This window comes from Homo sapiens, chromosome 1 (assembly GCF_000001405.40).
Source record: "Homo sapiens chromosome 1, GRCh38.p14 Primary Assembly".
NCBI lineage: Eukaryota > Metazoa > Chordata > Mammalia > Primates > Hominidae > Homo > Homo sapiens.
In genome coordinates, this window is record NC_000001.11 from 21,877,473 (window position 1) to 21,905,041 (window position 27,569).

Consider the following 27,569-nt stretch of genomic DNA (forward strand, 5'->3'; position numbering starts at 1 on the left):
CACCGACACTTGATACTCACATTCTTTTTTTTTTTTTTTTTTTGAGACGGAGTTTCAGTCTTGTTGCCTACAATGGAGTACAGTGGTGCGGTCTCAGCTCACTGCAACCCTGCTTCCCAGGTTCAAGTGATTCTCCTGCCTCAGCCTCCTGAGTAGCTGGGATTATAGGCGCCCGCCACCACGCCTGGCTAATTTTTGCATTTTTAGTAGAGATGGGGTTTCACCATGTTGGCCAGGCTGGTCTTGAACTCCTGACCTCAAGTGATCCACCCACCTCAGCCTCCCAAAGTGCTGGGATTACAGGCGTGAGCCACTGCGCCCGGCCGATGCTCCCATTCCTAACGCAAGTGACCTCCCTTCTCTGAGCCTCCATTTCCTCATTCACAAATTGGGGACACTAATATCTATATCATTGTATCAATGTGACAATGGACAAAGTATGGCAAAAGCAAAGGTACAATGCAGATACAAAGGCTGCATAAAGAATGACTGGGACTTGAACTGTGGTCACCTGACTCCCTAACCAGTGCTCCTTCCCAACGCCAGGCCACCTGTCCTGGTACGGAAGGCCGGTGGGCCAGGTCCACCAGCCTCTGACTGGGTTACCACCCACTGGCCAAGGATCTATGGAGAGGACGGAGCTTCCTTCTTCCTCCTCCCAGCTGTGGTGCTGGGCCCAAGGCCCCTGGGTGGGTGGCAGATGGCACGCGTACCTTACAGCGGCAGGCCTCCCCGGAGGTCCCCATGCTGCCACGCTCGTCACAGCGCACAATCTCCTGGTCTGGGACACAAAACGAGTGTTGGCAGGGCAGGTGGGAATGGGATATACGTGGTCCGGGCAGATAGAGGAACAGTGGCTCCCCAAGGTTCATGAGCTGGGGCAGGGAGGGAGGGTGCCTGGTGTGCAGCCCAGGTTGGGTTGGGAGGTGGGTGTCAGGGGATGGTGGCAGCCATACTCACTGACGGGCCTGCACTTCCCGCCGGGCTGGATGGGGTTGCCCTCGTATCCGGGGGCACAGCTAGGGGAGAGAGGGGGCCGCCATCAGCACTTCCATGACCCCACCCAGGAGCCCCCTTCCTGCAGCCCCCAAGGCTCTCCCTCACCTCTCACAGCGGCGGCCAGTGTAGCCTGGGGCACAGGCGTCACATGTGGCTTGGCCATCCGTGTCCAGGAAGCAAGTGTCTGAGAATCTGCAGGTATCAAGTGGACAGGGCATGGGGCAGGGCTGGGGTCAGGCTTTCTCCTCCCACCCTGGGAAATGACTGCTGTCTACACAGACACAGTGTGCCACGAGGCATGACGCCATCTCCCTGCCCGGCAGCCTCACAGCAACTGTAGGAAGTCAGGGGGCCCATTATACAGAAAAGGAAACAGAGGCCTAGAGAGGTCCAGGAGCATGGGATAACTTAGTGATCAGGTAGAGATCTGAATCCAAGTCTCCTGCCTCCCTGCCCAGAATATTCTCTGGCCTGTTGCACTGTCCCCAGCCAAACCCCCCCTGACCCGGAGCTGGGGCTGACCTGCGGGAGGCATCGATGTATGGGCAAGGGCAGGGCCGGCAGGAAGTGGCCGTGGCCTTCATGGCGTCCCCAAAGAAGCCAGCCTTGCACTTGTTGCACTGTGGCCCCTCCGTGTTGTGCTGGCAATTCTAGAAGAAGGAGGAGGGTATGGCTCAACTTCTAGAGCAGAACTGGGCCAGATGCTGCGGGGGACCTTGGAGGCTGTCTAGCTCAGCCTCCCCATCACGCTGGAGGCACAGCTTTGCAGACAGGGGAGCATCAACTGCAACCACTTATAGATGATGGGGAGCTCATCATCTTACACGGCAGCCTGTCCCATAGATGGTTCCAAATGCCTGCTTTTTATTGACCTAAACCTGCCACCCTCTTCCAATCTGCACCCACTGGCCAGTTCTGCTCTCCAGAGTCTGTTTCTTCTACCCGACACCTTTGCAGGGATTTGGAGATGACAATGCTGCCCTGCTTGAGCCTTTTCTTCTGTCAGCTCCACAATCCCAGCTCTCGCCACTATTCCTAAGAAATAAGGTCCCACCCCAAGGGCTCTTCCCCCTAGAGTTGCCCTCTGCAGGCCATGCTTCTTCATTTGGCACTCTCCAGGATTAGTCTGATGAGGGTGGAGAGGAGGGCCAACACCTCCCTTGTCTGGATGCTGTATCTCTGGGTTGTTTTTTTTTTCTGAGACTGAGTCTTGCTCTGTTGCCCAGGCTGGAGTGCAGGGGCACGGTCTTGGCCTACTGTAACCTCCACCTCCCGGGTTCAAGCGATTTTCCTGCCTCAGCCTCCTGAGTAGCTGGGATTACAGGCGTACGCCACCACGCCTGGCTAATTTTTGTATTTTTAGTAGAAATGGGGTTTCACCATGTTGGCCAGGCTGGTCTCAAACTCCTGACCTCAAGTGATCCACCCATCTAGGCTTCCCAAAGTGCTGGGATTACAGGCATGAGCCACTGCGCCTGACCTATATTTCTGTTATTGCATCCAGAGGTCATGATAGTTCATCTGGCAGTCATGACAGTCATTCTGGAGGCTTGTGCTGAGCTCATGAACACAGGGAATCTCACACATTGTCCCTTCTCCTATTTTAGTGTTCAAGTGTCTGCTGGCACTACTCACCAGGCAGTGGCCATACACAGGGTCACAGGAGCTGGCATGGCCATTGCAATTGCAACCAGAGCAGGTGCCCAGGTAGGGCCCACCAGGCACCCGAGTGAAGTGGGCATCACAGCTCTCGCAGGACAAGCCAGAATAGCCAATGGGGCATCTGTGGGGACAGGACCAAAAGAGTCGCTGCAAGGACGGTGAGGCCCTGCCGTTTCTCCTCTATCCTTGCTAGGGTCTCTGTGGTTCCCAGCCCTGCCGGCTCAGGCACCTGCACTCCTCCACACTGTGGGCACGGCCATGGCTGGTGGCATGGGTGACGGTGGTATCCATGGCGATGTCGCTAAGTCCCACGCTGGCCATCTTGGTGTTGTACACGGTCTGGATGAGCACGGCCTCCAGGCTCTGCAGCACCTGCAGCAGCTCCGCGCGCTGCACCGGCCGGCCAGACTCATGGACCCAGTGCTCCTGGGTATGGGTGAAGGTGGCAGGGGTCACACATCAGTGCCTACCCAGCCTAAATCCCCCTTTGCTCCCAGCCCTAAGGGCTCAGGCGCCACCCACCTCAGAGAACTGGACCTGGCGCTGGTTCAGAGCACCAGGTTGGGTGGGTGTGTGGCCTCGGGAGAGGAGGCGGTACCCGGCACCCATGAGGACCACGTCCGGCCGCTGCACTGGCTCCAGCATGCCACGGGCCAACTCGTAGCGCACGTTGTAACGCAGGGAGCCGCCATAGGAGTCCACCTGGCACAACAGGGTGGATCAGCACGGGCAGCTGTGGGCACACTTGACACCTCGTGCCTATGAGGTGCCTATAGTCTTCCAGCTCCTCCCTCACTCTGCCTACCTGAGACTTACTGTGTGCCAGGCACTGAGCTAGGCACAGGGAAACCGAGATGGGCGAGACTCAGGCCCTGACTCTAGGGTGTTTGGTCCATGGCAGGGTGTGGAATCATGCAGTGCACAGGGTACCCAGGGAAGCCAGTGCGGAGGCACAGAACCCAGCCCAGGCATGGGGGAGTGGTCAGGGAGGGCTCCCGGGAGGAGGGGAGGCCAGCTCTTCTTCCCAAGCCAACAGTGCAGGGGAGAGGTCCTGCCCTGAATGGATGAGCCGCTGCCACAGGGGGCTGCATCGGGGCATGGTAACACCTTTCCCTCCAAGTCTGCCTTGTTGTCCACCAACTGCAGAAGGAGCAGAGCCCACAGGAATTCTTTCCCCACCCAGGGTGGCAGCCCAGGCCCCTCACCTTGTTGCCCAGGAACTGTTCAGGCAGAGCCCAGAAGGAGTCGTGGACGAGGAAGCGGCGGGACAGGTCGACTAGCTGGAACTCGTGCAGGGATGGGTCGATCTGCAGCTGCGTGGAGGAGAGGGGTGGCGTGCCGGGCTGCGCAGGCATTGTCACATTCACACCTGTGGGTGGCAAGGGGGAGGCTGAGGGCTGCAGCCTGGGCCTGCCTGATACACCCATCTTGAGGGGCAGCAATCCAGAAAGGTGGGAAAGTTCTAGTGGAAATTTGATTTCGAGAAAACTTTGATCTCTCTTCCAAAGTGAAGAAAATGCAGTTTTTTGCCGGGTGTGGTGGCTCACGCCTATAATGCCAGCACTTTGAGAGGCTGAGGCGGGCAGATCACTTGAGGCCAGGAGTTCATGACCAGCCTTCCCAACATGGTGAAACCTCGTCTCTACTAAAAATAAAAAAACTAGACAGGCATGGTGGTGCACGCCTGTAGTCCCAGCTACTCAGGAGGCTGAGACAGCAGAATCACTTGAACCCGGGAGGCGGAGGCTGCAGCGAGCTGAGATCACACCAGTGTACTCCAGCTTGGGTGACAGAGCAAGACTCTGTCTCAAAAAAAAAAAAAAAAAAAAAAGAAAGAAAAGAAAAAGAAAATGCAGTTTTTTCCTCCTTCCCAAATACTGGAGCAGCATTTCCCAAAGCATGCTCTGGGAAAGTCAATGCCATGGAATGATAGCTGGGAACCATTTGGGAACCACAGGGTAAAGAAAGGACAAGGGGATTCTTTGCAGCCAGACTTCTCAGGGTCTTTCTTGCTAAGAGACCCACAGACTTTCAGGGCTGGAACAACCCTGCAGGCAGGAGAGCTACACAGGGCTGAGGAACAGGAGACCAAGTCCAGGTGTGTTGTAAGCCTGGGCAAGGGCCTCAGTTTCCTTATCTGTAAGATGGTGCTTAAAGTAGCCTGCCTCCTAGAGGTATAAGCTAAAATGAGCACATTGATATAAAATGGCTAGCTCTTATTGTTGCTGTTGTTATGATGGGTCGTCTAGTCCAACCCTCTTCTATGTACACACACACACACACACACACACACACACACACACACACACAGTCACCCTACATGGGAATTCCCTTGACAGCATCCTCCCAGATCTCTAGGACAGCTCCATCCTAGAGAACTTTCGGTGGAGTGAAAATATCCTGTACCTACACTCTTCATTACGGTAGCTGTTAGGTTGGTGAAAAAGTAATTGCTGGTTTGGTTTTGCCATTAAAAGTAATGGTACCAGCAACATGTGGCCACTGAGCACTGGAGACATGTCTTGTGCTGCTCAGGAATGAATCATTGTATTTCAATTTAAAGAGCCACACAGGGCCAGTGACTGCCACATTGGATGGTGCAGCCGTCATGGATGGAGAGCGTACAACCTCCAAAGGCCGTCCCTCCCGGCTCTGGACAACTTTGACTCTTAGCAAGTTCTTCCTTATACAGAGTCCACATCTGTCTGCCAATAGCTTCTCCCCCTCATCCTGAATTAACCCCCTGCAACCACAGGGGAATCCAGCTCCTCACCCGCAGAATGACCGAGCACAGCCCCGGGTCTAGGTTACTCAATCCTCTTTCCTCCCTGCCTTCCGGGGATGTCTTCAGGCCTCCTCCCTCCTGGTCACCATCCACACACAGGCCACCTGCTCACCCTGGAATTCCCACCACTCCCTCCCCTGGACCACCCAGATTCCAATCAGACAGCCCTGGGTTCAGCTCCCCCTCTAAACTGCTGTGTGAACCCAGGGAAGCCCCACAACATCTCAGAGCCCTGGGGCTCTCATCTTAAAACTGTGAAATCAGCCCTGACCTTGCAAGGGTTTTTGGCAGTTCGTTGACTGTCACGTCAAGCCACAGGGCCAACTGCCTGCTCACCAAATGGTGGCCACGGCCATTAGCATTGTAAATATACTGGGGGACAACTTTGGGAAGTAACTAAGTTTTGTTTTGTTTTTAGGGATGGGGTCTCACTCTGTTGTCCAGGCTGGAGTGCAATGGTGTGATCATGGCTCACTGCAGCCTCAACCTCCTAGGCTCAACAGATCCTCCTGCCTCAGCCTCTCAAGTAGCTGGGACTACAGGTGCAAGCCACCATGCCTGGCTAGATTTTTTGTTTTTAATTATTTGTAGAGATGGGGTCTCTCTGTGTTACCCAGGCTGGTCTTGAACTCCTGGCCACAAGCAATCCTCCCTCCCCAGCCTCCCAAAGTACTTGGATTACAGGCATAAGCCACCATGCCTGGCCAGGTAACTAAGTTTTATACAAGTCATTTTTAGGTTCCTCAACCAACAAAAGGGCATAAAATGTGTTGAGTGCTTTGGAGCTAACTCTCTACATGCATTTAATCCTCTGCAACGAAGAAGTGAGACTCAGCAGGGTGAGGGCTGCTTGATGCCACGTGGAAAACGACAGAGCTGGGACCTGAGCCCCAGTCCAGGCAGTGCCTGGGCTCATGCCCTCAGCCATCCTGCCATTCTGCCTCTCAGTGCCAGAAAGAACTGAGTCCATCTGCCTGCCTCTATCTTTGGGAAAATAGGACCAGGGAGGCCAAGAGACTTGCCCAAAGACACAGCGGCAGTAAGTGGTATAGCTGGAGGCCACCCTCAGGCCAAGGAGATGCCAAAGCCTGGGCTCCTATAATCTGGGTACACTGGCACCTCTGTCTCTCAGAATGAGGACAATGACTGTGACGTTAGCAAATACCTCCTGGGTGCTGAAAATGCGCTGAGCACAATTCTGAGAGGCTTACATACGTGACTCCACTAAGTCCTTACCAACCCCTAGGAGGTAGTTATTATTCCACACCCCCCGACTTTACAGATGACGAAACAGACACGAGATAGTGGGTAACTTGACCCAGGACACAGGTGGACAGCGTCCACGTCAGGATCTGAAGCTGGAAGCTGGCTCCAGGGCCCGTCCTCGCCGTAACCTGAAGCAGGTAGGTAGCAAGGGGGGATTTGGCTCTTCCTAAACATCTTGGTTTTCCCCCCGAAATGCTTTTTTGACAGGGCTCAGTGTTTCTTCAGCGACTCACATTCCTTCCCGAAACCTGGCCCCCTCTGTCCGCATCTATCCTCTGTGCCCCCTGGGTACAGAGGTACCCACCTCCCACCTCCCGCAGCGCTCACCCGCCCGCCAACGCACCCTTGAAGTCATCGGGTTGGTCAAAGCGCAGCCTGATCTGGTCCCGGAAGCGGCGGGTGCTCTGGCACACGCTGGTGATGCCAAAGCAGAAGCAGGGCAGGCAGGCGGCGCTGTGCTCCAGGTAGAAGTGGCCGTCAGGGCAGGGGCCTGCTGGGCGGCATGGGCGGGGGCTGCAGCCGGCTGTGGTGGGCAGCCCGGCTCTGCCCCCACACCCGGTGACACCTGCCCTCCGGCAGTACCTCGTTGTGGGACGAGCTCAAGGACACCGTCAGGAATGCCAAACACCATGCCCCGGGCGTTCATGGCCTCACAGGTGTAGGCACCCTGGTCTGACTCCTTCACATCACGGATGATCAGTGTGCCACGGCCACCCTCGCTGGTCACTGTCACCCTGGTGAGCCCCAAGACAAGTGGTAGGATCTGGCCTAGGGCTCTGGACCAGCTGCCCCTCATTCCCACCCCACCACCTGGGCCCAGAGCCGCACCTGGGATGAGAGGGGATGTGGCCCCAGTTGAGCCTCCAATTGATGATGGGGGTGGGGACGCCAATGGCCACGCAGGTGAAGGTCACTGTCTGGCCCCGGGAAGCCTGGATGGACTCCCGGGGAGGTGTCACCACCTGGGGGGGCACTGAGGAGACCAGGGCAGGAGTGAGGGGTCGGGGGCAAAGGAAGGAGGAGCGGAAGGAGGGCTCCGAGGGGCTAGGAGGGAGAAGGGTGGAGGCTGAGGCTGTGGACAGAACCCCTAGAACCCAGCCCAGGGCCCGCATCTCGACCCCAGCTCCCTGCTCACTGCAGCCAAACTCGTCGCTCCGGTCAGGACAGTCGCTCTCCTCGTCACAGTGGAAGCTGGCTGGGATGCACATGTTGGTAGAGACGCATCGGAACTGTGTGGGCCCGCACACTTCCTCAGGACGCTTGGTGGCTGGGGACAAAGCCAGGTGGTTCCCAATAGCCCACCCCGTCCATCCTCCCTGGGCATCCCCAGGGCCACTCTCTCATCTTGCCCACATAACCCACAGCGGCCCTCGCCATGCCTAGCCCCTGCTGCACAACACTGTCCAACTCACAGCCAGCATGATGCGGCCACCAGCTGTCATCGAACCACTCATCACATTACCCGGCCCCCACCCCTCACTCCACCTGCATTCCCCATGCCAGTTATGGCTGGCACATCACTGTCACAACCACAGCATCACCCAGCCACGCTCAGAGGCACAGAAGCGCTATCTTGCTCACATGGACAAGACCCATGTCAAAGGCACCACCAGTGGGGCTGGCATCTCTGGGCGCCAGCAATGCCCCGCCCACCCTTCTCTACCAGAATGCCTGGCACAGTGTGGTCCCCTGAGGGGCTCGACGGTCTGTGCTCCCACTGACAGGCCCTCTATGGAGTGGCCAGAGGCTGGAAGTGGCCCGGGACAAGGGCTGGGCCCTGCTAGGCCTCTCTAGTGGCTGGTGACCAATGTTCTTCCTCAGGGAGATGGAGCTTGAGAGAGACACAGACAGGGACAGAGAAGTCACAGCCATGCAGGAGCGGAAGCCGCGCATCCACAGAGCAGGTGCGAGAGGAGACCAGGAGGTAGCCGTGGGCGCAGCTCAGGCGCTTCTGTTCCCCACACTCTCAGGAGCCCACGAGGCCATTCAGCTTTCATGTTCTCTGTTTCTGTGCTGTCCACAAGGACCTGTCCTTCCTTTGACTTCCCCAGGAGAGGCCCCTGAGAAGGGCCTTCCAACTAAAGCCCCCAATTACTTTATCTCTCCCAAGGGGCTGGTGCTATCAGGCAAGCTTAGAGCCACAGAAAGGCGTTCGCAAACTCTGCCAGTCTGTGGCATGGTGCAGCCTCTCCCCCGGGGCTTGCTGTGGAGTGGGCAGGGGAAGGAAGGCAAGGAGAAGCTGGACAAGCTCACAGCAGGAACATGGACACGCGCCCAGACACACCACCCAGGACCACAGAGAAGAGCCTGAAGATTATCCTTAATCTTGCACTAACAAGCATCAGGCTTCTTGCGGGACAGGACATACAGGATACCACCTGATGTGGTCGCTGCCTCTCCAGCCTCCCCCTCCTATTTAACTGTCAGGATGCCCGTAATGTCCATGACTGGAAAAGATGGATACCACAAGGGTGGGGAAGTGGGAGGCTGGAAGGATGGATGGGAGGGAAGAAGGACGACAGATGGATGGGTGGATAGATGGATGAAGGGCTGGGTGGATGGATAATGGGTGTATAGGTGGGTGCATGGGTGGCTGGGGAGTTGGACAGATGGGTGGGTAAGGCTCTGACTTGCATACATACACCAAGGACCCATCACCAAGGGACCTTGGCACATAGAACCCTCCTAGCCATTCATCCGACCCACATACAAAACAAAGAGAAGCTTCATGGTAACAAAAATAAAGGAAAGAAATGACGAGACACGAACCACAGGCAGGCTAACCACACAGCTTCACCAAAGGCCAGCTCAGGGCCAAGGGGCCTTACGGCTCTGGTTAGAGATAAACCTTGGGGTGTGTCTCCAGGGCCTTCCGCACTCAGCCAGGGAGAGCAAACAAACAGGCTTGGGGGACTGGGGAGGGGGGAAAGCGGAGGGGCAGGGTAGGGGCGGGGCAGGAGTGGAAGGCGGGGCAGGAGCAAGCGGCCTGGGCAGGGCAAGGGGGCCTCAGCTGGACCCTCGGATACTCACGGCAGTTGGCTTCATCAGTTCGGTCCTCACAGTCAAAGTCACCATCGCAGCGCCACAGCTTGAGGGCACAATGTCCATTCCCGCAGGGGAACTCGTTGGGCTCACAGGGTGGCGGGGGGCCTAGGAGACCGGGCAGGGGTCAGCAGCATCCTCCCGGGCCAGCTTCCTGCTCCCCGCACCCACCTGCACCCCTGCCGGTGCGCACCACAGTCTAGCTCATCGCTGCCGTCCTCGCAGTCCTCCTGTCCGTCGCAGAGGTAGTCTCTGGGGATGCAGTGCCCATTGCGGCATGCGGCCTCCTGGGGCCCACAGGGCAGGGGCCTGACGGAACCGGGAAGCAGGGGCTGAGGAGCGTGGGTGACTGGTGGCTGTCGCATGATGGTTGTCTCTGGCCGGGGCGGTAAAGATGTCGTCTCCACAAGGAGAGAGAATGTGGGGCTGATACCCAGGACTGGCTCCTCTGTGGATAGATTCCGCTTGGCATTTGGCAGAAGCAGATGGCTCCTCACCTGCTCCTTGTCCCCAACCCTCCCCAGGCCCACCCTGTACTCCCCAACACCACTCCCTGCCACCCCCTGCCTGGCTCTGTCATCACCCTTCCTATGCCCCCATCCTCTGCCTGCACCAAACCCTCATAGTCCTTGATGGGCTCCAAGACCCAGGTGTAGGACCCTGGCCCTCCCCTGGCACCCAAACCACTCGTGGCCCCGGACATCCCCTCACCACAATTGAGCTCATCAGACATGTCCCTGCAGTCGGGCCGCCGGTCACAGCGATACTCCAGGGCCACACACTCATTGTAGCTGTGGCAGGCAAACTCGGCCTCCGTGCAGGCTCTTGGGAACTGGGGCACTGCAGGTGGAAAGGAAGCAGACTGGAGTCAGAGGCGGCAGGAGGCAGGTGCGGGAAGCTGTAGGTGCTGTGTGGCTGGAGTGGGCTCCAGGGCCCTGTGTCAGGCAGCTCGGTTTCTGGCAGGCACAACGAGGGCAAGCAGCACACACTAGACACATCCACAGCACACGTGGGGCATGGGACATGCGGCAGTGGCCTCCCCCATCTCTAAAACAGACCCCACACACAGTTGACATGCCACACGCATGCAACCACCACACCACACACATGCAGGCCACAGCCTGGCCCAGTGAGGACAAAGAAGGAGGGGAGAAGGGAGTGCCCAGCTGTCTTGGGCTGTGCCCAGCCAGCCATCTTGCCCACACCCTTCTTTCCTCTCCATCCTTTAAAAAATTTTTTTCTCTCTTCTTTTTTATTTTTTTAGAGACAGGGTCTTGCTACGTTGCCCAAGCTGGTCTCGAACTCTTTGCCTCAAGCAATCCTCCCGTCTTGGCCTCCCAAAGTGCTGGGGTTACAGGCGTGAGCCCCTGCACCCGGCCTCCTCTCCAACCTTAACTTCTCTAGGAACCTGGCTGGGCCTCGGCCTGGCTTACACTCTCACCTGGTGTCACTGCGACCGCCACAGCGGCCGGCGGGGGTGGGGGGGTCTGTGCTGGAAAGGAAGATGTGATCAGTGGCTGTTCCACCTGGGAGCCGGGAGCTGAGGGCTGCAGGGCTGGGCCACATTCCACCATCCCTAGCCAGGAGGACTTATTGAAAAGTGAGAGAGGAGGGCTGGACCCCCAGCAGTCTTTAGACCTGGGCCTGATGATGCAGAAGAGCAAGCTTGATCTCTGGGTGCAATAATTAAGGGTTTTTGTTTGTTTGTCTTGTTTTAGAGGCAGGGTTTTGCTCTGTCGCCCAGGCTGGAGTGCAGTGGCATGATCCTAGCTCACTGCAGCCTCAAACTCCTGGGCTCCGGTGATCCTCCTGCCTCAGCCTCCTGAGTAGCTAGGACTACAGGCGCGCACCACCACGCTTGGCTTTAATTGAGGTGCGGAACAAGGGAGGTGATGGTTTCACTGTCTTTTCCTAATTGGGCTACACCATAGTAGGGGATGGAGTTTGTTCCATTCTGAGTTCCACTGAGTCAGGGTCTTCCCAGAGACAGGGAACTGAGATGGAGACAGGGCCGAGAACCACACCTGTGAAGGATGAACTAGGGCTGTTCGGTCTAGAGAAAAAAAAGAGACTCAGGAGGTTAAAACAGGAGACCAAAGGCACAGTAGAAGGAAATCTGGGCTGACCCAGAGTACAAAGGCCAGGATTCTGCACCTAACCGCTGTGTGGCTTTGGACCAGTTTCCTAGTCTCTCTGTGCCTCAGTTTCTCCTGCTTCTGTCATCACAGGTTCTGGCAAGACTGTCACAGACACCGAGTTTGTTTGAAATCCTCGCCTTTTCACTATCTGCCCATCTGATTCTGGACAAATTTAGATTTTCCTTTCTGGGCCTCAGTTCCCTCGTCTCTGAAACAGGAGGAATAACATCTCCTTCATAGGAATTGCTGTGAAGACTGACCCGGAGGCTGGAAATAAAGGCAGTCAGTGCTCAGTAAACAGTTGCTCATTATTATTAAGTACTAATGTGTTTTGGACTTGGAAGTACAGGATAAATAAAGGCCTGATTACCTATTGTCAATGTGCAGAGGTCTAGAAGGAAGGAGCAGAACTCGGGTCTAACGGGTATGTGCTAGAGGAAACAGTCTGTGCTCTACCAAGCCAAGATTGTGTAAAGATCGATGGGGCAGACTCAGGAGTAGTGAGCTCCCTGTTTCTAGTGGTGTGCAAGCCCAAGTTGGGAGCCTATGGCAGAGACACTGAAAGGGGACCCCACGAGTCTGGAGGAGGCGATCCCAGACACCAGGATAGGCTCACCTGTGCCCAGGCGTCGGAACTGGAATCCCTGGGGAGAGGTGACGTAGGAGGCCACAGAGCCGCTGGAGATGACCCTGAGCAGCATCTCCTGAATCTGAGCCCCATCCGCATTCCCTTCCGAGCCCACATCCAGCTCCACAAAAACCCAGCCATCCAGCTCCCTGGGGATGGAGACAGGCAGGAGAGGAGGGTCAGCGAGACACCTGTGTTCTCAGCTCCTCCATGAGGCTCCCGCCCCGACGCTCAGGCCCTGTTCCGGGACAGCCTGTACCCAAAGAAGGGCAACTAAAGGTCCCAATGATCCCCCGACCAATTCCTGAATTTCCACCCACAGCGACTCATCCCATAGGCCTTTCCGCGGTGCCAGGCTTCCTTCCCATCCTCATCAGCCCCCTCCAGGTTACCCGCTCAAGTCCCCCAGCAGCCCCCAGGGAGCCCCTTCTCACTTGATGAACACCACACTGACAACCTGGTCTCCGGGAATTTTCAAGTACTCCGACTCCAGCTGGGGAGGGACACAGTGCCATCAGCCCCAGAGGCCTTCACCCCATCCTCGGTCCTGCCCCGCCACACCCGCGAGCTTCCCAAACCCCCTTCACCTCACCGTGTCTACCACAGCCTCGGACACCTCTCGGAACTCTCTGGAGCCTGCATCCTCCAGCTGAGGGCTGTACTCGATGGAGCGAGTGAAATTCACCAGGGCTCGGAAATAAACTGGAAAATCGAAGGAGGATCATTTTGAGAGCCCCAGCCTGGCATCTAGTGGCCTTAGGCAGTTGGACCATTCAGGCAGAGTTGGGGGGATGGCCCCCAGAGGCCTCCCTCGAGGCTGACACCTGTGTGCCCACTGCTACACCCAGGACTGCCTGTAGGTATACATGCTCAGGGGTCAATGCCAAGGCCCCAACTTGACTGAGGGGCTTTAACTAACAGGGGAAATGGCCTGATCCAGAAACCAAGTGCTAGTGCAAAAGAGGAGACCCCCACAGTTCAGAGGAAGGCTGGACAAGAAGGGGTGGCTCCCAGAGGGAGTTGGCCTGGCACAGGGATTACCTGCGTGTGACTGGGAAAGGCTCTGCCAGCCTTCCTCGGTCAGTTCCTACTCATTCCTCAGGACTTGGCTCAGCCATTGTCTCCTGATCTTCCTGATCTGCCCTGGCTGGGGTAGAGACCGCTCCCCTGGGCTCCCACAGTGCCCTGCTTTCCCTAGCAGAGCACCTTCCACCGTGTACTGCATAGATTCTGCCAGGTTTCACATCACAGTAACAATTGTGAGTTCTAAGGTCAGCCATGCCTCAGGCACTGACCTCGGCTCTGAGTTTCTGTTTCCTAATGGGGATATTGACTGCATGTACCACCTGGGTTGCTGCGAGGAGTGCATGACATTGTGCTCACATGCACCAGGCCCTTGTACTCAGATGCATCACCTGGCACACAGCAAACCGCCCAAGAATCGAAGCTGCTGTGGTCCTCTCTCCACCACCAGACTCTAGGCTTGATGGAGGGGAACCTGGGATTTCATTCACGCCCGCATCCCCAGTGCCTGCCGCGTGCCTGGTACACAGCGGGTTCCTTGAAAGTGATGGCTGAATAAATTCATCTCAGACTGGTGTGAACATACACATGCATCTGTTGTTTCTTTTTTTTTTAGGCAGGGTCTTGCTCTGTCACCCACGCTGGAGTGCGGTAGCAAAATCACAGCTCACTGCAGCCTCAAACTCTAAGGCTCAAGCTATCCTCCCACTGCAGCCTCCTGAGTAGCTGGGATTACAGGTGCATGCCACCATGCCCAGCTAATGTTTTGACTTTTGATAGAGATGGGGTCTTGCTATGTTGCCCAGGCTGGTCTCAAACTCCTGGGCTCAAGCAATCCTCTCACTTTGGCCTCCCAAAGTACATCTATCGTTTCTTAAGCACCGACTATATATGAGACATTTTATGCTCATTACGTTTCACAATATTTGTGAATTCATGTATGTGATAGATATGAATGAATAAGAGTGACAAATGAGTCATATACAAGCCAAGCATCCCTAATCCAAAAATCTGAAATCCGGTGTGTAGGTGGCAGAGCAGGGAGTGGCACTGTCTGTGCTACTGCCAGGCCCATCCTCCTCCCGCTTTACTCTGTCCATCAGGCCCGCAGGTGCACAGGACATTCTTGCTCTGTGGCTCAGGTGAAGAAAGCCCTGGCGCTGCCTGCCCTGAACCGCTGGGCTAGGCTCCTGGGTGCCGGGTGGGCGGGGCTCTGTGGGCTGGAGTGTGGGGGCCATGGCTCAGCCACAGAGGCCCCTTGTGAGCCAGCACAGAGGCCCATTGAGAGTCCCCCCACCCAAGCCCCTGGCCTCAGCCCCACGGCCCAGCGCGGGCGAGGAGGCCGGGCCTCTGCCCAGGAATGTGCCCGCTCCTGGGGAAGGGGACTGGAGCTCCACAAAGCCCCTTTCTACTAGGGCCTGGGAAGGGCACAGGCCCTTCAGCCTGACCCCACCCCGCTTCGTTCTTCGAGACCAAGGGCAGGTCTGGGTGAACACCTCCCATCTCCCACCCTGCAGCTGGTGCCTGAGCACTGGGGCAGAAGGTGAGGCCACCTCTATTTCAAGAACCAGCCCCCGGGCTGGGTGCAGTGGCTCACGCCTGTAATCCCAGCACTTTGGGAGGCCGAGGCCGGCAGATCACTTGAGGTCAGGAGTTCAAGACCAGGCTGGCCAACATGGTGAAAATACAAAAATTAACCAGGCGTGGTAGTGCATGCCTGTAATCCCAGCTACTCGGGAGGCTGAGGCAGGAGGATTGCTTGAATCAGGGAGGCAGAGGTTGCAGTGAGCCGAGATTGTGCCACTGTACTGCCTTCCAGCCTGGGTGACAGAGTGAGACTCCATCTCAAAAAAAAAAAAAAAAAAGAAAAGAAAAGGAAAAAAGAACCAGCCTCCAGAGCCAAGGACACTGGTGCAGCCAGCAGGGGCGAGGCTGCCTTGGAATAGGGGTGCTCTCTGGCCAGTCCTCTCCCTCCTCTCACCCTATCTGGTGAGTTCCCTTGGAGCCAGAGGCCGGGAGAGGGAGACAGCTGCCCTGCACTCAGGGTAGAAGTGGGGGCTGCACACCTGACTAGCCCTGGCCCCGGAGCAGGCTACTCACCAACTCCTGATTCCCATCCCTGCTCAACAGAACTCTCTGCAACACACCCAGGCCCCCGAACTCCAGCCCTGGGTCCCTGTGGGTCCCTCGGGTGGGCCCAGGATTGGCCTGTGCTGGGGTGGACACAAGTGGCCTCTGGAATGCAGGGCCTGGTCCCTGCAGGGCTGCTGCACCCATCTCTGCCCGTCAACACCCCATGGGGAAGAACGCCCGCCAGGGTTCCAGCCCACTGTGTTTAGATCTGTGGGCCCAGGGTGGGCCTGGCTGTGTCCTGGGCAGGGGCAGTGGCTGGCCTAGCCCCTGGACTCTGCAGGGAGGTGCCTCTGAGCCTCTTGTGTGACTCGCAGCAAAGTGCAGGTTGGGGAGGAAGAGAACAGGGAGAAAGGAGAGAAAAGGAAGAGTGGGGAGAGAGGATGGGGAGGGAGGCAGAGGGAGAGCAGCGCTCCCACCTGGCCAGGGCCTGGGTCACTTACTGAGAGGGGACTCCTCATCAGGCTCCGAGACCATCATGCCAGCCACGGGCGGGCGGCCCAGGGGCTGCCCTGAGCCTGCAGAGTAGAGACAGAGAAGGAGGCAAGAAGGGACATTGACAGCGAGGGAGACGAGATGGAGAGAAGCAGAGAGAGAGGCAGAGACATTGCAAGAGAGAGGGAGACACAAAGAGACAGAAAGACAGAGACAGAGATAAAGAAAGTGGGGCGGGGGAGAATGAGAGAGAAAAGGTAAGACAAAGGTGAAGAAAAAGGCAGAGGGAAAAAGAAAAAAAAAAAAGAACAGGCAGAGGGGAGAGAGGGAAAGACAGAGGGCGACAGAAGCAGAGATGGTGAGCCAGAGAGAGGGAGAAGAACAGGATGAGGCAGAGGGAGGAGGCGCAGAGACAGACACTCAAGGAGTGGGGAAGAGGGCCCAGGGCAGGGAGGACAGGGGACACACACAGACATGCCGACAAGGGTCAGAGCAGGACACACGGGCATGGGGGAAGACAGAAAGAGACAGGTCAGAACATGGAAAGAAACTGGGGGAGGAGACGTGGGAAGGGGTCCTAGGGAGGGGAGGCTATCAGGGACGGGTCTTGACACACAGGGGGCTGGAGCTGAGCCAGGGAGCCACAGCCATGCCCAGGGGGAGGAGGGGAAGAGCCATCTCAGGGGCTGGAGTCCAGGGTCTGGGACTGGGCCAGAGGCTAGGCATGGCCCCATGACAGGCAGGATGGCTCTGGCTCATGGGCGCAGTGGGGGCACTGCCCTTGGTCAAGTCTGAGTGGGCACCCTGGGACCCCAGGATCAGGGAGGCACACCTGCTGCCTCCCTGACTGGCATTCAGCCCAGCTGCCTGGACCTGCCCCAAGGGCAGCTGGCAGGAGCCAGGGTTTGGCCTGGAGGGTCTGAGGCCCCACCTGTTCCCACTTGCGAGGAAAGGCACCTACCCTGGTCTTGGGCCCCCTACAGCTGCTGTGCCCTGTTCCCCACCTCTTCCCCCTCTGGCCTCGTCTGCCCTCACAGCTGCTTCTCAGGAAGGGCAGGTGGGCTGGCCAGGACTGCCCAGCTGGGGCAGAGCTGCTGCAGTGGGCAGCCCCCGGGGAGGGGCTGGAGATGGTTCATGAATGGACAGGGTGATCTCAGAGGCAAGCCTGGCTTGGCCAGAGGCAGCTCCAGGGACACATTAGCATAGGCCATTCCAGGACGGGACGTGCCATGTGTGCCTGGGGCCCACCTGACACTCCCTCTCCCAAGCCCCACCCAGCTCCCAGGCATCCTGCAGCCTCGTGGAGACCTACACATGGAAATGGAAAACCTTCAGGCAGAGCCCCAAGTCCAGGCTCTGGGAGGTCACAGTCAGGACCAGGTTACCCAGTGACCTACCCTCCTGTCTACACTGACCCAGTTAGGATGCTACCCACTGGCATTTGAAGGCCCCGGATATGTCAGCTAAAGGGAGGTGACTCCACCCCTGAAGTAGGCCCAGGCCAGATTTGGCCAAGGCCTGCCTAGGGTGAAGGCAGCCCTGGATGCCACGGGATGGCCCAGTAGTTGGTCTGACCTGAGCACCTGCTCCATCCTTGGCCCTGGTCACAGATTGTCCCAGGAGCTGCCTCCCAGAGAGGGCAGTAGGAACCATAAAGAGCCACAGGGCCTTGTCCTGGGGTAGGTCCTTCTCCACCCAGTATCCCAGAGTGGAAGGAAGCAGGGACTATAAGTCCCCATCCCAGTGCTGGGCCAGTCTGACCAGGGTGGGGGCTGACTCTCCTCCCTCCAAGAGCCTAGCCTTGCCTCCCTAAGCTAGGAACCCTTGCTTCCCAGCCGATGACCCACCTTAAGGCAAGGTTCTCTCCCAAGCCTAGCGTCAGGCTCGATCTGTGCTCTGCATGCCCTGCTGCCTGCCTGAATGCCCGATTCCACAGAGCCCCTCTGTTCCACTTGTCTTTGCCTGGGATCCCCAGCTCTGTGCCCCCAGGAGGGCTCTGGGGAAGGACTCAACAGCTGAGCTGCCCTGGGAGGTGAGAACTTTGCTTTGAATGTGAAACAGCTGACTGGCTGTCAGTCCCCAGCAGAACTGGGCTTTACCTGCCCAGTGCCCTGATACCTGTGCCTGTGGCATGGGCAAGCACAGGACCTGGCCACACCAGCCTTGCAGGGACCTGCCAATCAGTCTGCACAACTGTCACTCAGCAGGTTAAGAGATCACACCCACTTCTTCTTGCTTTGTACCCCAGGGCAGGCCCAAGGAGCCCTCAGCCCAGGAGACTGGCTCTGGGGCTTCCCTGGGGGACAGGAGGGAGACCTGCAGGAGGCCTGCAGCAACTTACCCATCTGGAAGTCCCCGCTGCCCAGGTCCCCACTGCCCAGGTCGTCTATAAGCAAAAAAGAGATGTAATCAGCAACAACAAGTATTTGTTGAGTACCTACTGGGTGTCAGGCACTGTTCTGGGCACCTAGTATACAGTGGGACAGGGTTGAGAAAGCTCGGAATGGTCGGTCACCCTCCTCCCCCATGCCAGTGGGAAGAAGCACAGTCTCACCCCCCACCCCTCTGCTCCCAGCCTTGGATCCTTGGCTCACCTCCTGAGATGCTGTCAGCCAGCATGTCCTCATCATCAGAAAGGTACGAATGTGTCCAGCGCATTTGGCTTGCTGTGACGGTCTCTATGTCCTCAGGCAGAGACAAGCCATCGTATGCCCTCAGCCCATGGGTCACCTGTAAGCAAACGAGAGCTGATTGAGTCACTCTCTCCAGCTCCCACTGAGCCCCACGGTCCTTCCCCTCACTTCCAGGGGGACCCAGAATCCCACCTTCAGGCCCCTTAGTGGTTAAATTTGACTTAGTATGGCTCAGTGAGCCAGGCTGGGGCTGAACCCTTTTGATTCAGTTTCCCCAAGTCCCATTAGCCCCTGGAGGCTTCAGAGCCCAACCCTGCTATTTCCGAATGAATCCTCAAATAAAGCAGACAATAAAATGTAAATCACTTTGGTAAGTAAAGACTCCTTTTCCTTTGGAGAAGGCAAGGGACACCCAGGACATGAGTGAGTGGATGGGGGGATGCGGGCGGGTAAAGGGGTGGCCTCGGGCAGCGCAGATGGGGGGCACAGGCAGGTGGAAGGCTGGCCAGGGTCAGCATGGGTGGGGACACAGGCAGAAGTCAAGGGCGAGCTGCTCAAAGCCGTTGCCTCCCCAGGCAGCTCCTCCCCAGGCCATTTGGCTCCTCTTCCTGCCTCACTCTGGCCTGCCCGTCTCCAGGCTGCAGGGAACACATTCCACTGTGTTGGAGAATTAGCTTTGGCACATGCAGCCACACTGACAGGCTCATCCCTGGGCCCAGCAGCGCGGAGGCAGAGCTCAGTATCTGGGCTGAATGGGGACAGGCGTGGTGTCAACTCCACGTGACCTCAGGCTGCTGCCGAGCCCAGGATAAGCTCCACCTTGGGGCCTGCAAACTATGTGGGCCGGAGCAGAAGGGCCCCAGCAGCCATAACACCTGCCTTCTCAGGTGTGGGTCCGGGCAATGAGTGCCTCTTCCCCCTAGACAAGATCCGGATGATTCCAAAGCAGTTTTACCAAATAACTTAGAGGAAAACAAACCCAGGGGAGCCCAAGGGAACCCCGTGGCCCTCAAGTGTGCAGATTCACGATGGCTGGACCCCAGATTCCACAAGCACAAGTATGCACAGACTGGCAATGGCCTGGCATGAGGGCCTCAGGCCCTGCCCTGGCCTTAAGCCAGAAGGAAATGGTCTCGCTTTTGAAAACCAAACCCACAAGGGCTAGACAAGGTAGTGAGGTCCAAGCCAGAGCAAAGGCCAAGGAGGAGAAAAAAACAAAGAGCCAGCCAGGCCCCCTTCCCTCCCCACCCCTACTGCTCCCACAGTCCATATCTCTCACGCCGGGCCCTCTGCTGGAATGCCCTTCCTCTCTTTGTTTCTCAGGCGAACTCCAATGCATCCTCCAAAATCAACTTAAATACCACCTCCTCCACCTACTCAGGAATAAGGAGGATCAAACCACTGATTGATAGGTGTGGATCTGAAAGAAGCCAGACACACAAGACTACAAACTATACGATTCCATTTATATGAACCCTTAGGGGTGAAAGTCTAATCCATAGTGACAGAAAGATCAGTAGTCACTTGGGACCAAGGGCAGGCTGGGGGTGACTGGGAAGGGGGCACAAGAGACACTTCTGGGGTGATGGTTCCCTGGGCATACATATCTCATTACTGACTGTACCCTGAAAATGGGTATATTTTGTTGTGTGTATTTATGCCTAAATAAGGATGACTAGAAAGAAACTCTCTTTGTCCCGACTCCTTGCTGTTCACAGTGACCTCAACCCCAGTCTGGTTCTGGGCTCACAAGGTTATTGTCTGTACCTCCGTTGGAATGGAAGCACCTTGAAGGCAAGGGCTGTGATGAATTCATCTCCACCTTTTCTGCACCCTGTGCTCAATAAATACTTGAATGAATGAATAAATGAACGGACAAAAACGGAATTCATCACCTATGAATTCCAGTCACTCTGTGAAGATGACTTGCTTTGGGGAGGCACTACCTACCTCTGTGCAATCTATAAGCATCTCCTGTCCTAGGCTGTGAGCTCCCTGGATGGGGGAGTGGCTGGGTGCCATTTGTTCATCTTTGTGTTTGCGGTGCTCTCAGACCTTGGGGAAGGTCTGAGTTGTCCACATCTTATTCCTGCTTTGGCCTAAAGCCCTTACCCCCAACAATCCAGCGGCAAATGTTGCCTCCTGTTCCTTCTCCTCTCCCTGCCCTCTCCCTGTCCTCCTGAGTGCTGGCCTGTGGACTTCTAGGCTGTGCCCGTGGGATGCGCATTCAGGAGTGTGCTTTAGAACGTCCAGGAGCTGGTGAGAAATGCAGATTCCTGGGCTCCTTCTCAGAGACAGTGAGTCAGGTTTTTCCATCCCAGGAGGGTGGTCTTAGTTGTGCATGTCCAGGGGATTCCCACAGTCCCTGGTTAGAACCGTAAGACCAGCCCCTACCAGGCGCTCTGCCTCCTTCCCTGGGTGGGGTAAAGGGCAGTGTTCCCACTGGCTGGAGCAGGCCTGACTGACCCAACGTGGGTATGAGGCTGGGGCTGGTGCAGGGGCACTGACTCTGGTTAGAGGAGATTTGAGGGGTCCCCTCAACCTGGTGGGGGGCTCTGTCAATGCCAATCCCCCTCTCATTGCAACCAAGGTTATGGAGGGCATGCCTGGAGCACTGCGACTCCCAGCATCTCCTAGACACTGCCGTCTGGAAAGGAAAACCTAGCGGTGAATGATGAGCAAGGTCCAGAGCTTTTCCCAGGGAGCAGGGAGCTGGTCAGCGGGTGGCGGCGGGGGTGGCCTTGGGACCAGACAGGAAATAGCAAAGTGAGATTCAACATGGAAAGAAAGCCAGGAACACACATCTGCAGGGAGAGGGGAAAGAGAGGCCAGAGCACGTCGGGACTTGGACAGAAGTGCCCCACACTCCACCAGAGGACTCCAGAGCACGGGTCCCTCCATCTGCCAGTCTGCTGTTGCTTGCAGCCCCCACCCTAGGGTCTGAGGATCCAGGGTCAGATAAGGGCCCATAGCAAGGAATAAGTCAGCAAGAGCAGAGACTTCATTTGTAAAAAGCTGAAGATCAAAAGGTTCCAGGAGCTCTGTATTTCACATCTGGGAGAGCAGATGGAACCAGACAGGAAAGAGGCTCCCAGAAAGAGCCAAAAGGAACTTGGGACTTGACCATAGAAGGACCTTGGACCCAGAAAGGGAAAGACCAGGATCTGCTTGAAGAATAATAACAGCTAACATTTATTGAGCACTTACTATGCACCAGGCACTCCTAAACCAGGTTATAGGTCTTATGGGGCTCCACTGAGAAAGGGGGCAAAGAGAGCAGAGAAAGTCAGGTTACCCGTGGAAACTGGCATGTGGCAGGGCTGAGATTTGAACCCTGGTGGTCGGGCTCCAATACCTAAGCAGCTACCACTGTGCTATATCACCTCTGTGACCAGGGGTATGCAATGAAGCAGATATGAGATCACTGGGAGTCACTCTTGCAAAGCCTCTCAGCCACACTGCATGCCACTTTGCAATGCATTTCCTCAGCCTAGTATCACCTGAGTTGACAGTGACCCTTGGAGGAGGCTGAGGAGGTATGAATGCTCCCCTTCCCCAGTGAGCCCCGGGAGACGTGTCTGCCCAGACCACAGGTGAGGAGCTGGCATCCCACCCCAAGCCTTCTGCTCACCAGGAAATGAGGCAGGGCTGGACCTCTGGGCTGGCCATGAGGCCTAAGCAGAGAGCAATACCAGGGAGCCCAGGGTTGGCCAGTCCCTGTCCCCAACCTGACCAGCTCTCAGAATGGCCCCATGGGATGCCTGAGCTGGCAGTGGCCTGGGACTGTGCAGCATGTGCCTCAGGTCCCAAGGAGGGCCATTAGCAGCTCCAAGGTCAGAAATAGAACCCAGGTTTCCTGCCCTCCAGCCCGTCTCCGGCGGTGAGGGAGCCCGGCTTCCTCCCAGAGGAACCCAGCACTTCAGGCATGTGTTGGAGCCAGACGGGCAGCTGGAGAGGAGGGGTCTAGGGGTCAGACCTCGGCCAGAGAGGAAGGAGCTAAGCAGAGAGGGGGATTTTCCAGACCCTGCAGTTCCTGGTTTGGCGGTGTGCAGGCAGCTGACTCAACCGGGCCCAGGCCAGAGAATTGTTCTAACAGGCTGAGAACAATTGCTTGGGGCTGGGATGCAGGCAGGGTGACCCCCAGTGGGCAGGCATTCCTTGAACACTGGCAGGACTGTGGGCGAGGGCTTCTGGGAGGCACCCAATCCCAGAGGTGGGCTATGTCCAGGCCCTCCTGGTGAGAACGAGGGTCACATGGAACTCCAGGTCCAAGTTGTGTCATTAGGGACAATGAATGCAGGCTGGATCCTCCTCTCCTGGCCTGGGTGAGGATAAAGAGGCAGACAAGGCTGCCTAGGAAAGGACTAAGAACGGAGGAGAAAACTACAGGAGTGGGGCACAGAATGGAGAGAAGGAGGGAGAGGTACAGATACGGAGAGCAGGTACAGATCACTTGAGGCCAGAAGTTCGAGACCAGCCTGGCCTACAGGGTGAAACCCCATCTCTACTAAAAATACAAAAATTAGCCCAGCGCGGTGGTGCATGCCTATAGTCCCAACTACTCGGGAGGCTGAGGTAGGAGAATTGCTTGAACCCAGGAGGCGGAGGTTGCAGTGAACCGAGATTGCACCACTGTACTCCAGCCTGGGCGACAGAGCAAGACTCTGTTAAAAAAAAAAGTTTATAGCAAGCTCATTGGGTGCCAAGCCCTGAACTGAACCGACATGAAGCTATTCAGAGTGTGTTCACTCCACTCAGAGGGAAGAGTCCTGTGTTTCACTGTAGCAATATTACCGTTGTTTGATCATGGGGTGTGACCCCCAGACTCCAATGGGGATGTCACATGCCGGCTGGGCACATGCTCTATGTCACCTTCTCAAACTTGAAAAATTCTGAATTCCAGAACACATCTGACTCTGAGGCTTTCGGTCAAGAAACTGTGAGCTTGTGTTATTATTATTTCCGTTTTCTGGATGAAGAAACTGAGGCTCAGAGAGAATCGGCTGGGTAAATGGGATCAAGCAGGTAAGGCACTTAGTGAGGCGTTTACTTATACAGTAAGTGCTTAATAAGCACTAGAATTACTTATACAGTAAGTGCTTAATAAGCATTAGGATTAGTATCATGCAGAGGGTGCATGGTAGGGGTGAGGGGTAGGTGTGGTTGAGGGGTGATGCATGCGGAGTGTGAGGTGTGGGCTCAGGCCTGGGGTCGCCTCCAGATCTGGGATGAAGGGAGGAGCCTGGCTGAGTGGGCAGGACCCTAGCAAGGGGTGGGCAATAGAATTGGGTCCTATGGCTCAAAGTTGTCTGCCTGCTCAGAGGCTGACTCTGGGACCAACCCAGGGCTTTGGGCTTCTCCAGACACATTGTTCACATGCCTTCAGCAGCCAGTCCACCCCACCCTCCTTGTAGCCCAAGCCTGGGACTGAGCCCCCGACTGCCCCCGCAGCTAGGCAGGAAGGTCTGAGCACTGCACAGTCCCCAGGGCGGCTGCAGCTGCCCAGGGCCAGGCTCCAGGCATGTGGGGATGGAGTGAGCTCACCCCATCAAAATCCAGAGACAGTGCAGGGGCGGGGGGACAAAAGAGCTCCTGCCTGCCCACCTGCCTCCCTGCCACGGTCACCACAGGCTCTGCCTCAGTGCCCCTTCCCCTGCCCACTGCCAAGGAACCAGCAGACAATGTGACCCATGGTCCCCAAATCTCTGGGGAGGGACATGAACCCAGACAAGGTCCCCATCCCCCTCTGCCAGGATGCAGGCTCCTAGGTAACCCCAAAACAAGTGCTTCCCCTACTCGGCTGCAACCCAGGCCCCAGACACAGGATCAAGGTGCCCTGCCCCACCCCCAGGCCACCCAGTGCCCTGTCCACAGGCGACAGACAGCACACAGGAAGGAATCTGTCGGGGCAGCACTTTGTTGTACAAACTGCCAGGGGCTCAGAGCCCGACACAAAGGCCAAAAGGCCTTTAATCCCCTGGCAGTCTGAGAGGGGCGCCGGGCCGGAAGGGAGGTGGCCACAGCCTCCTCTGGCATGCTTGTGCTGCCCGTGCCACTCGGGAGGCCTGCCAGCTTCTCACACAGGGGCCCCCAAGGTGGCAGGAACTTCACCAGCCAGTCAGCCAGGAGAAATACGGACGCCCCCAAACAAGGAGAGGGTCCAACACGCATCCAGGGCTTCTTTGTGCCAGGGGCTGAGCTAAGGTCTTCACAAGACTTACGTCACTCAGATCCACCACAACCTCACGAGGGAGACACTGGAGGCACACTCATTTGATAGATAAGGAAACCAGGCTCAGAGAGGTACAGTTACCTGCTCCAGGTCACACAGCAAAGGCAATGGGAACGGAGTCTGAAACCAGGACTCCCCTCTGCTGGGTTCATGCTTCTGTATTTGGCTAGCTCAGAGGCACAGCTGCCAGCAGGGCCCTGCTTCTGACCTCTGACCCCTTGCCCTCTGTAAGCTCATATCAAGGCCTGCAACCTGGAAAAGCTGCATTCCATCCAGGGCTTCTCGGGAGCGCTGGGGCAGGTCAGGGCCTTCAGCGGAGGCCCAGAGGGCAGGAAGCTGGGGTCTGGAGTTTCTAGTCCCAGCTTAGCCCCGCACTCACCACGTTGCCTTGGACAAGCCCCTGCCTCCTTTACCTTTTAGCTAACTTTAGTGAGTCTCTACTGTATGCACTGGGCATCCACACCCACCATCTCAGTCCATGTGAACAACACGTGGAAGGCAGTGACTTTGATCTGTTTTGAGCATTGCTGCAACTCCACAACAGAAAACACACAGTAGGTACTAATAAATCTGCGGACTCACGGACAAACCAAATGAATGAACCTGCCCAACAGCCCTGAGGTGGAAATTAACCCACCTGACAGAAGAAAGCTAACTTCAGAAGGAGACTTGCCCAAGATTACACAGCTTGAAAGTGCCAGAATTACCTCTAGTCCTCAGTTCCCATTAATACGACAGAGGCCATAACACTTCATCCTAAGGGAAAGAGGGGACTAGGTCACACGGGCCCTGAAATCCGTTCCAAGACACCCCTGTCCCTGCAGAACAATCCCTCCAAGAATTAGTTCTCTCCGCTATGAAATGGGAGCAAAAGGCCGGGCATGGTGGCTCACGCCTGTAGTCCCCGCACTTTGGGAGGCAGAGGCAGGCGGATCACCTGAGGTCAGGAGTTCGAGACTAGCCTGGCCAACATGGTGAAACCCCATCTCTACTAAAAATACAAAAATTATCTGGGCGTGGTGGCGTGCGCCTGTAATCCCAGCTACCCTGGAGGCTGAGGCAGGAGAATCGTTTAACCCAGGAGGCAGAGGTTGCAGTGAGCCAAGATTGCGCCACTGCACTCCAGCCTGGTCAACAAGAGCAAAACTCCATCTCAAAAAATAAATAAATAAAATAAAATAAAAATAAATAAAATGGAAGCAAAAAAAGGTCCCCGCTTTGCCTCCTTCCTGGGGCTACTGGGAGAGGCATGTGGAATGAGGCGGTGATCTCTTTGAGAGGCACAGTCCCAATCTCTGAATCTGCCTGGCCCTTCTCCAGGCAGGCCCCATGTGGTCTCTGCCTTGGAGGCTCCTATGACATAGCTAGGGGTGGGCACCCAACCCGGTCTGGCACTGACCAGGCAGGGGACTGGCGAGAACACTTGACCACCAGCCGGTGGGGCAGAGCAGGCTGTGCTGTCAGACACCTCCAAGTCCGGGCCACCCTGGCCATATTCTAGCTAGGGGGCTTCAGCTTCCTCATCCTTAAAAAAAGTAGAATCGATCAGATCTGTCCCATTTGGTTCAATTCAAGTCACTTCAACCTCGACTTACGGGGTACCTACTATGTGCTGGGCCCGGGGGACAAAATGTGAAATGGACACAGAACTCCATGTTCCTGGGGGACACAGGCCACGGAACCACGTGCTGGCAACACCGTGCGAAGAGAGTGCTGAAGGGGAAGGAAGGGGGCCGGCAGAGCCCAGGGGAGGGTCCCCTCACTTAGGGAGGTGGCTGGGAGGCTGGGGAAGATTTCCAGAAGAAATGCTAACTCAGCTGGGCCTGAGAGATGACTTCACCTAAGCAAAGCAGAGAAGGGGAAGAGTGCGGACCAGGTGGAGGGAAGGGCACACGCTGAGGCCAGGGCTGGAGAGGGCACGGCACGTTCGCGGGGTGGGAGGAAGCCTGGTGCAGCGGGACACGCGTGTGAGTGGCAGAGGAGTCAAAGGGCGGCACGAGTGGGCTTTTCCATTTAAAAGGGCCGCCCCTCAGTTGTGCTGCTGACCCGGTGCTAGTCACAGAGGCCAAGTCTCCCCTGTACCCCCAGAGTCCCTGCACTCTCCTCCGTCCCCCACAGACACCCCAAGATTAGGTCTCCCCTGGTGGCTGAATGAGCTGCCTGCCAGCTTACAGGGAACCAGGAAGCCACCGGGAAATGCCCTTGCCTCACCCATGTGCCAGGTGTGGCCAAGGCGGTGGGGGTGGCCTAAGCGGGAACAGCTTCTGGACTGGGCTGCCCAGCAAGAAGGTCCCTGGGGGTCGAACACTATCTGCCAGGCACCACGGCTGCCGGCAACACCTGCAGCGTTCACGTGCCAGCCTCCTGCATGCAGCCTGGCTTGGTTCTCAGGTTCTCCGGCTCCCAGCTGCCCTGCTGCCCTGGCAGGTCTGTGGGGCTTCAAGGGCACACCAACCTGGTTGGGCCTGCCCATACCCTCCTGGGTCACTGCCCACAGATTTCATGAATGATGCCCCTTGCACAGTGCCAGGACTATGGAAGGATGGGCGGAATGTTCCACAAAGTTATGTTGCCATGAGACACCACTAACAACCAC

General features: G+C 56.8%; 1 protein-coding gene across 9 annotated transcripts in view; it reads right to left on the bottom strand.

Moving 5' to 3' along the window:
* Positions 1 to 27,569, bottom strand: part of HSPG2 (heparan sulfate proteoglycan 2) — a 115,067-nt gene that overhangs the window by 55,229 nt on the left and 32,269 nt on the right. For 2 of the 9 annotated variants that reach the window (NM_005529.7, XM_047419090.1), the window contains exons 2-21: positions 18,703 to 18,838; positions 18,450 to 18,494; positions 13,113 to 13,222; positions 12,955 to 13,013; positions 12,509 to 12,669; positions 10,466 to 10,594; positions 9,948 to 10,202; positions 9,743 to 9,862; positions 7,848 to 7,979; positions 7,541 to 7,685; positions 7,295 to 7,446; positions 7,056 to 7,202; positions 3,867 to 4,030; positions 3,184 to 3,363; positions 2,891 to 3,087; positions 2,635 to 2,782; positions 1,522 to 1,649; positions 1,105 to 1,191; positions 961 to 1,019; positions 714 to 781 (exon numbers count right to left, since the gene is read on the bottom strand). In NM_005529.7, coding sequence (NP_005520.4) covers positions 714 to 781; positions 961 to 1,019; positions 1,105 to 1,191; positions 1,522 to 1,649; positions 2,635 to 2,782; positions 2,891 to 3,087; positions 3,184 to 3,363; positions 3,867 to 4,030; positions 7,056 to 7,202; positions 7,295 to 7,446; positions 7,541 to 7,685; positions 7,848 to 7,979; positions 9,743 to 9,862; positions 9,948 to 10,202; positions 10,466 to 10,594; positions 12,509 to 12,669; positions 12,955 to 13,013; positions 13,113 to 13,222; positions 18,450 to 18,494; positions 18,703 to 18,838 — 2,622 coding nt within the window. Of the gene's footprint in view, positions 1 to 713; positions 782 to 960; positions 1,020 to 1,104; positions 1,192 to 1,521; positions 1,650 to 2,634; positions 2,783 to 2,890; positions 3,088 to 3,183; positions 3,364 to 3,866; positions 4,031 to 7,055; positions 7,206 to 7,294; positions 7,447 to 7,540; positions 7,686 to 7,847; positions 7,980 to 9,742; positions 9,863 to 9,947; positions 10,203 to 10,465; positions 10,595 to 11,195; positions 11,247 to 12,508; positions 12,670 to 12,954; positions 13,014 to 13,112; positions 13,223 to 18,449; positions 18,495 to 18,702; positions 18,839 to 20,853; positions 21,073 to 27,569 lie in introns of those variants that run through there. The other 7 variants (NM_001291860.2, XM_047419080.1, XM_047419091.1 and 4 more) reach the window with 6 other exon arrangements.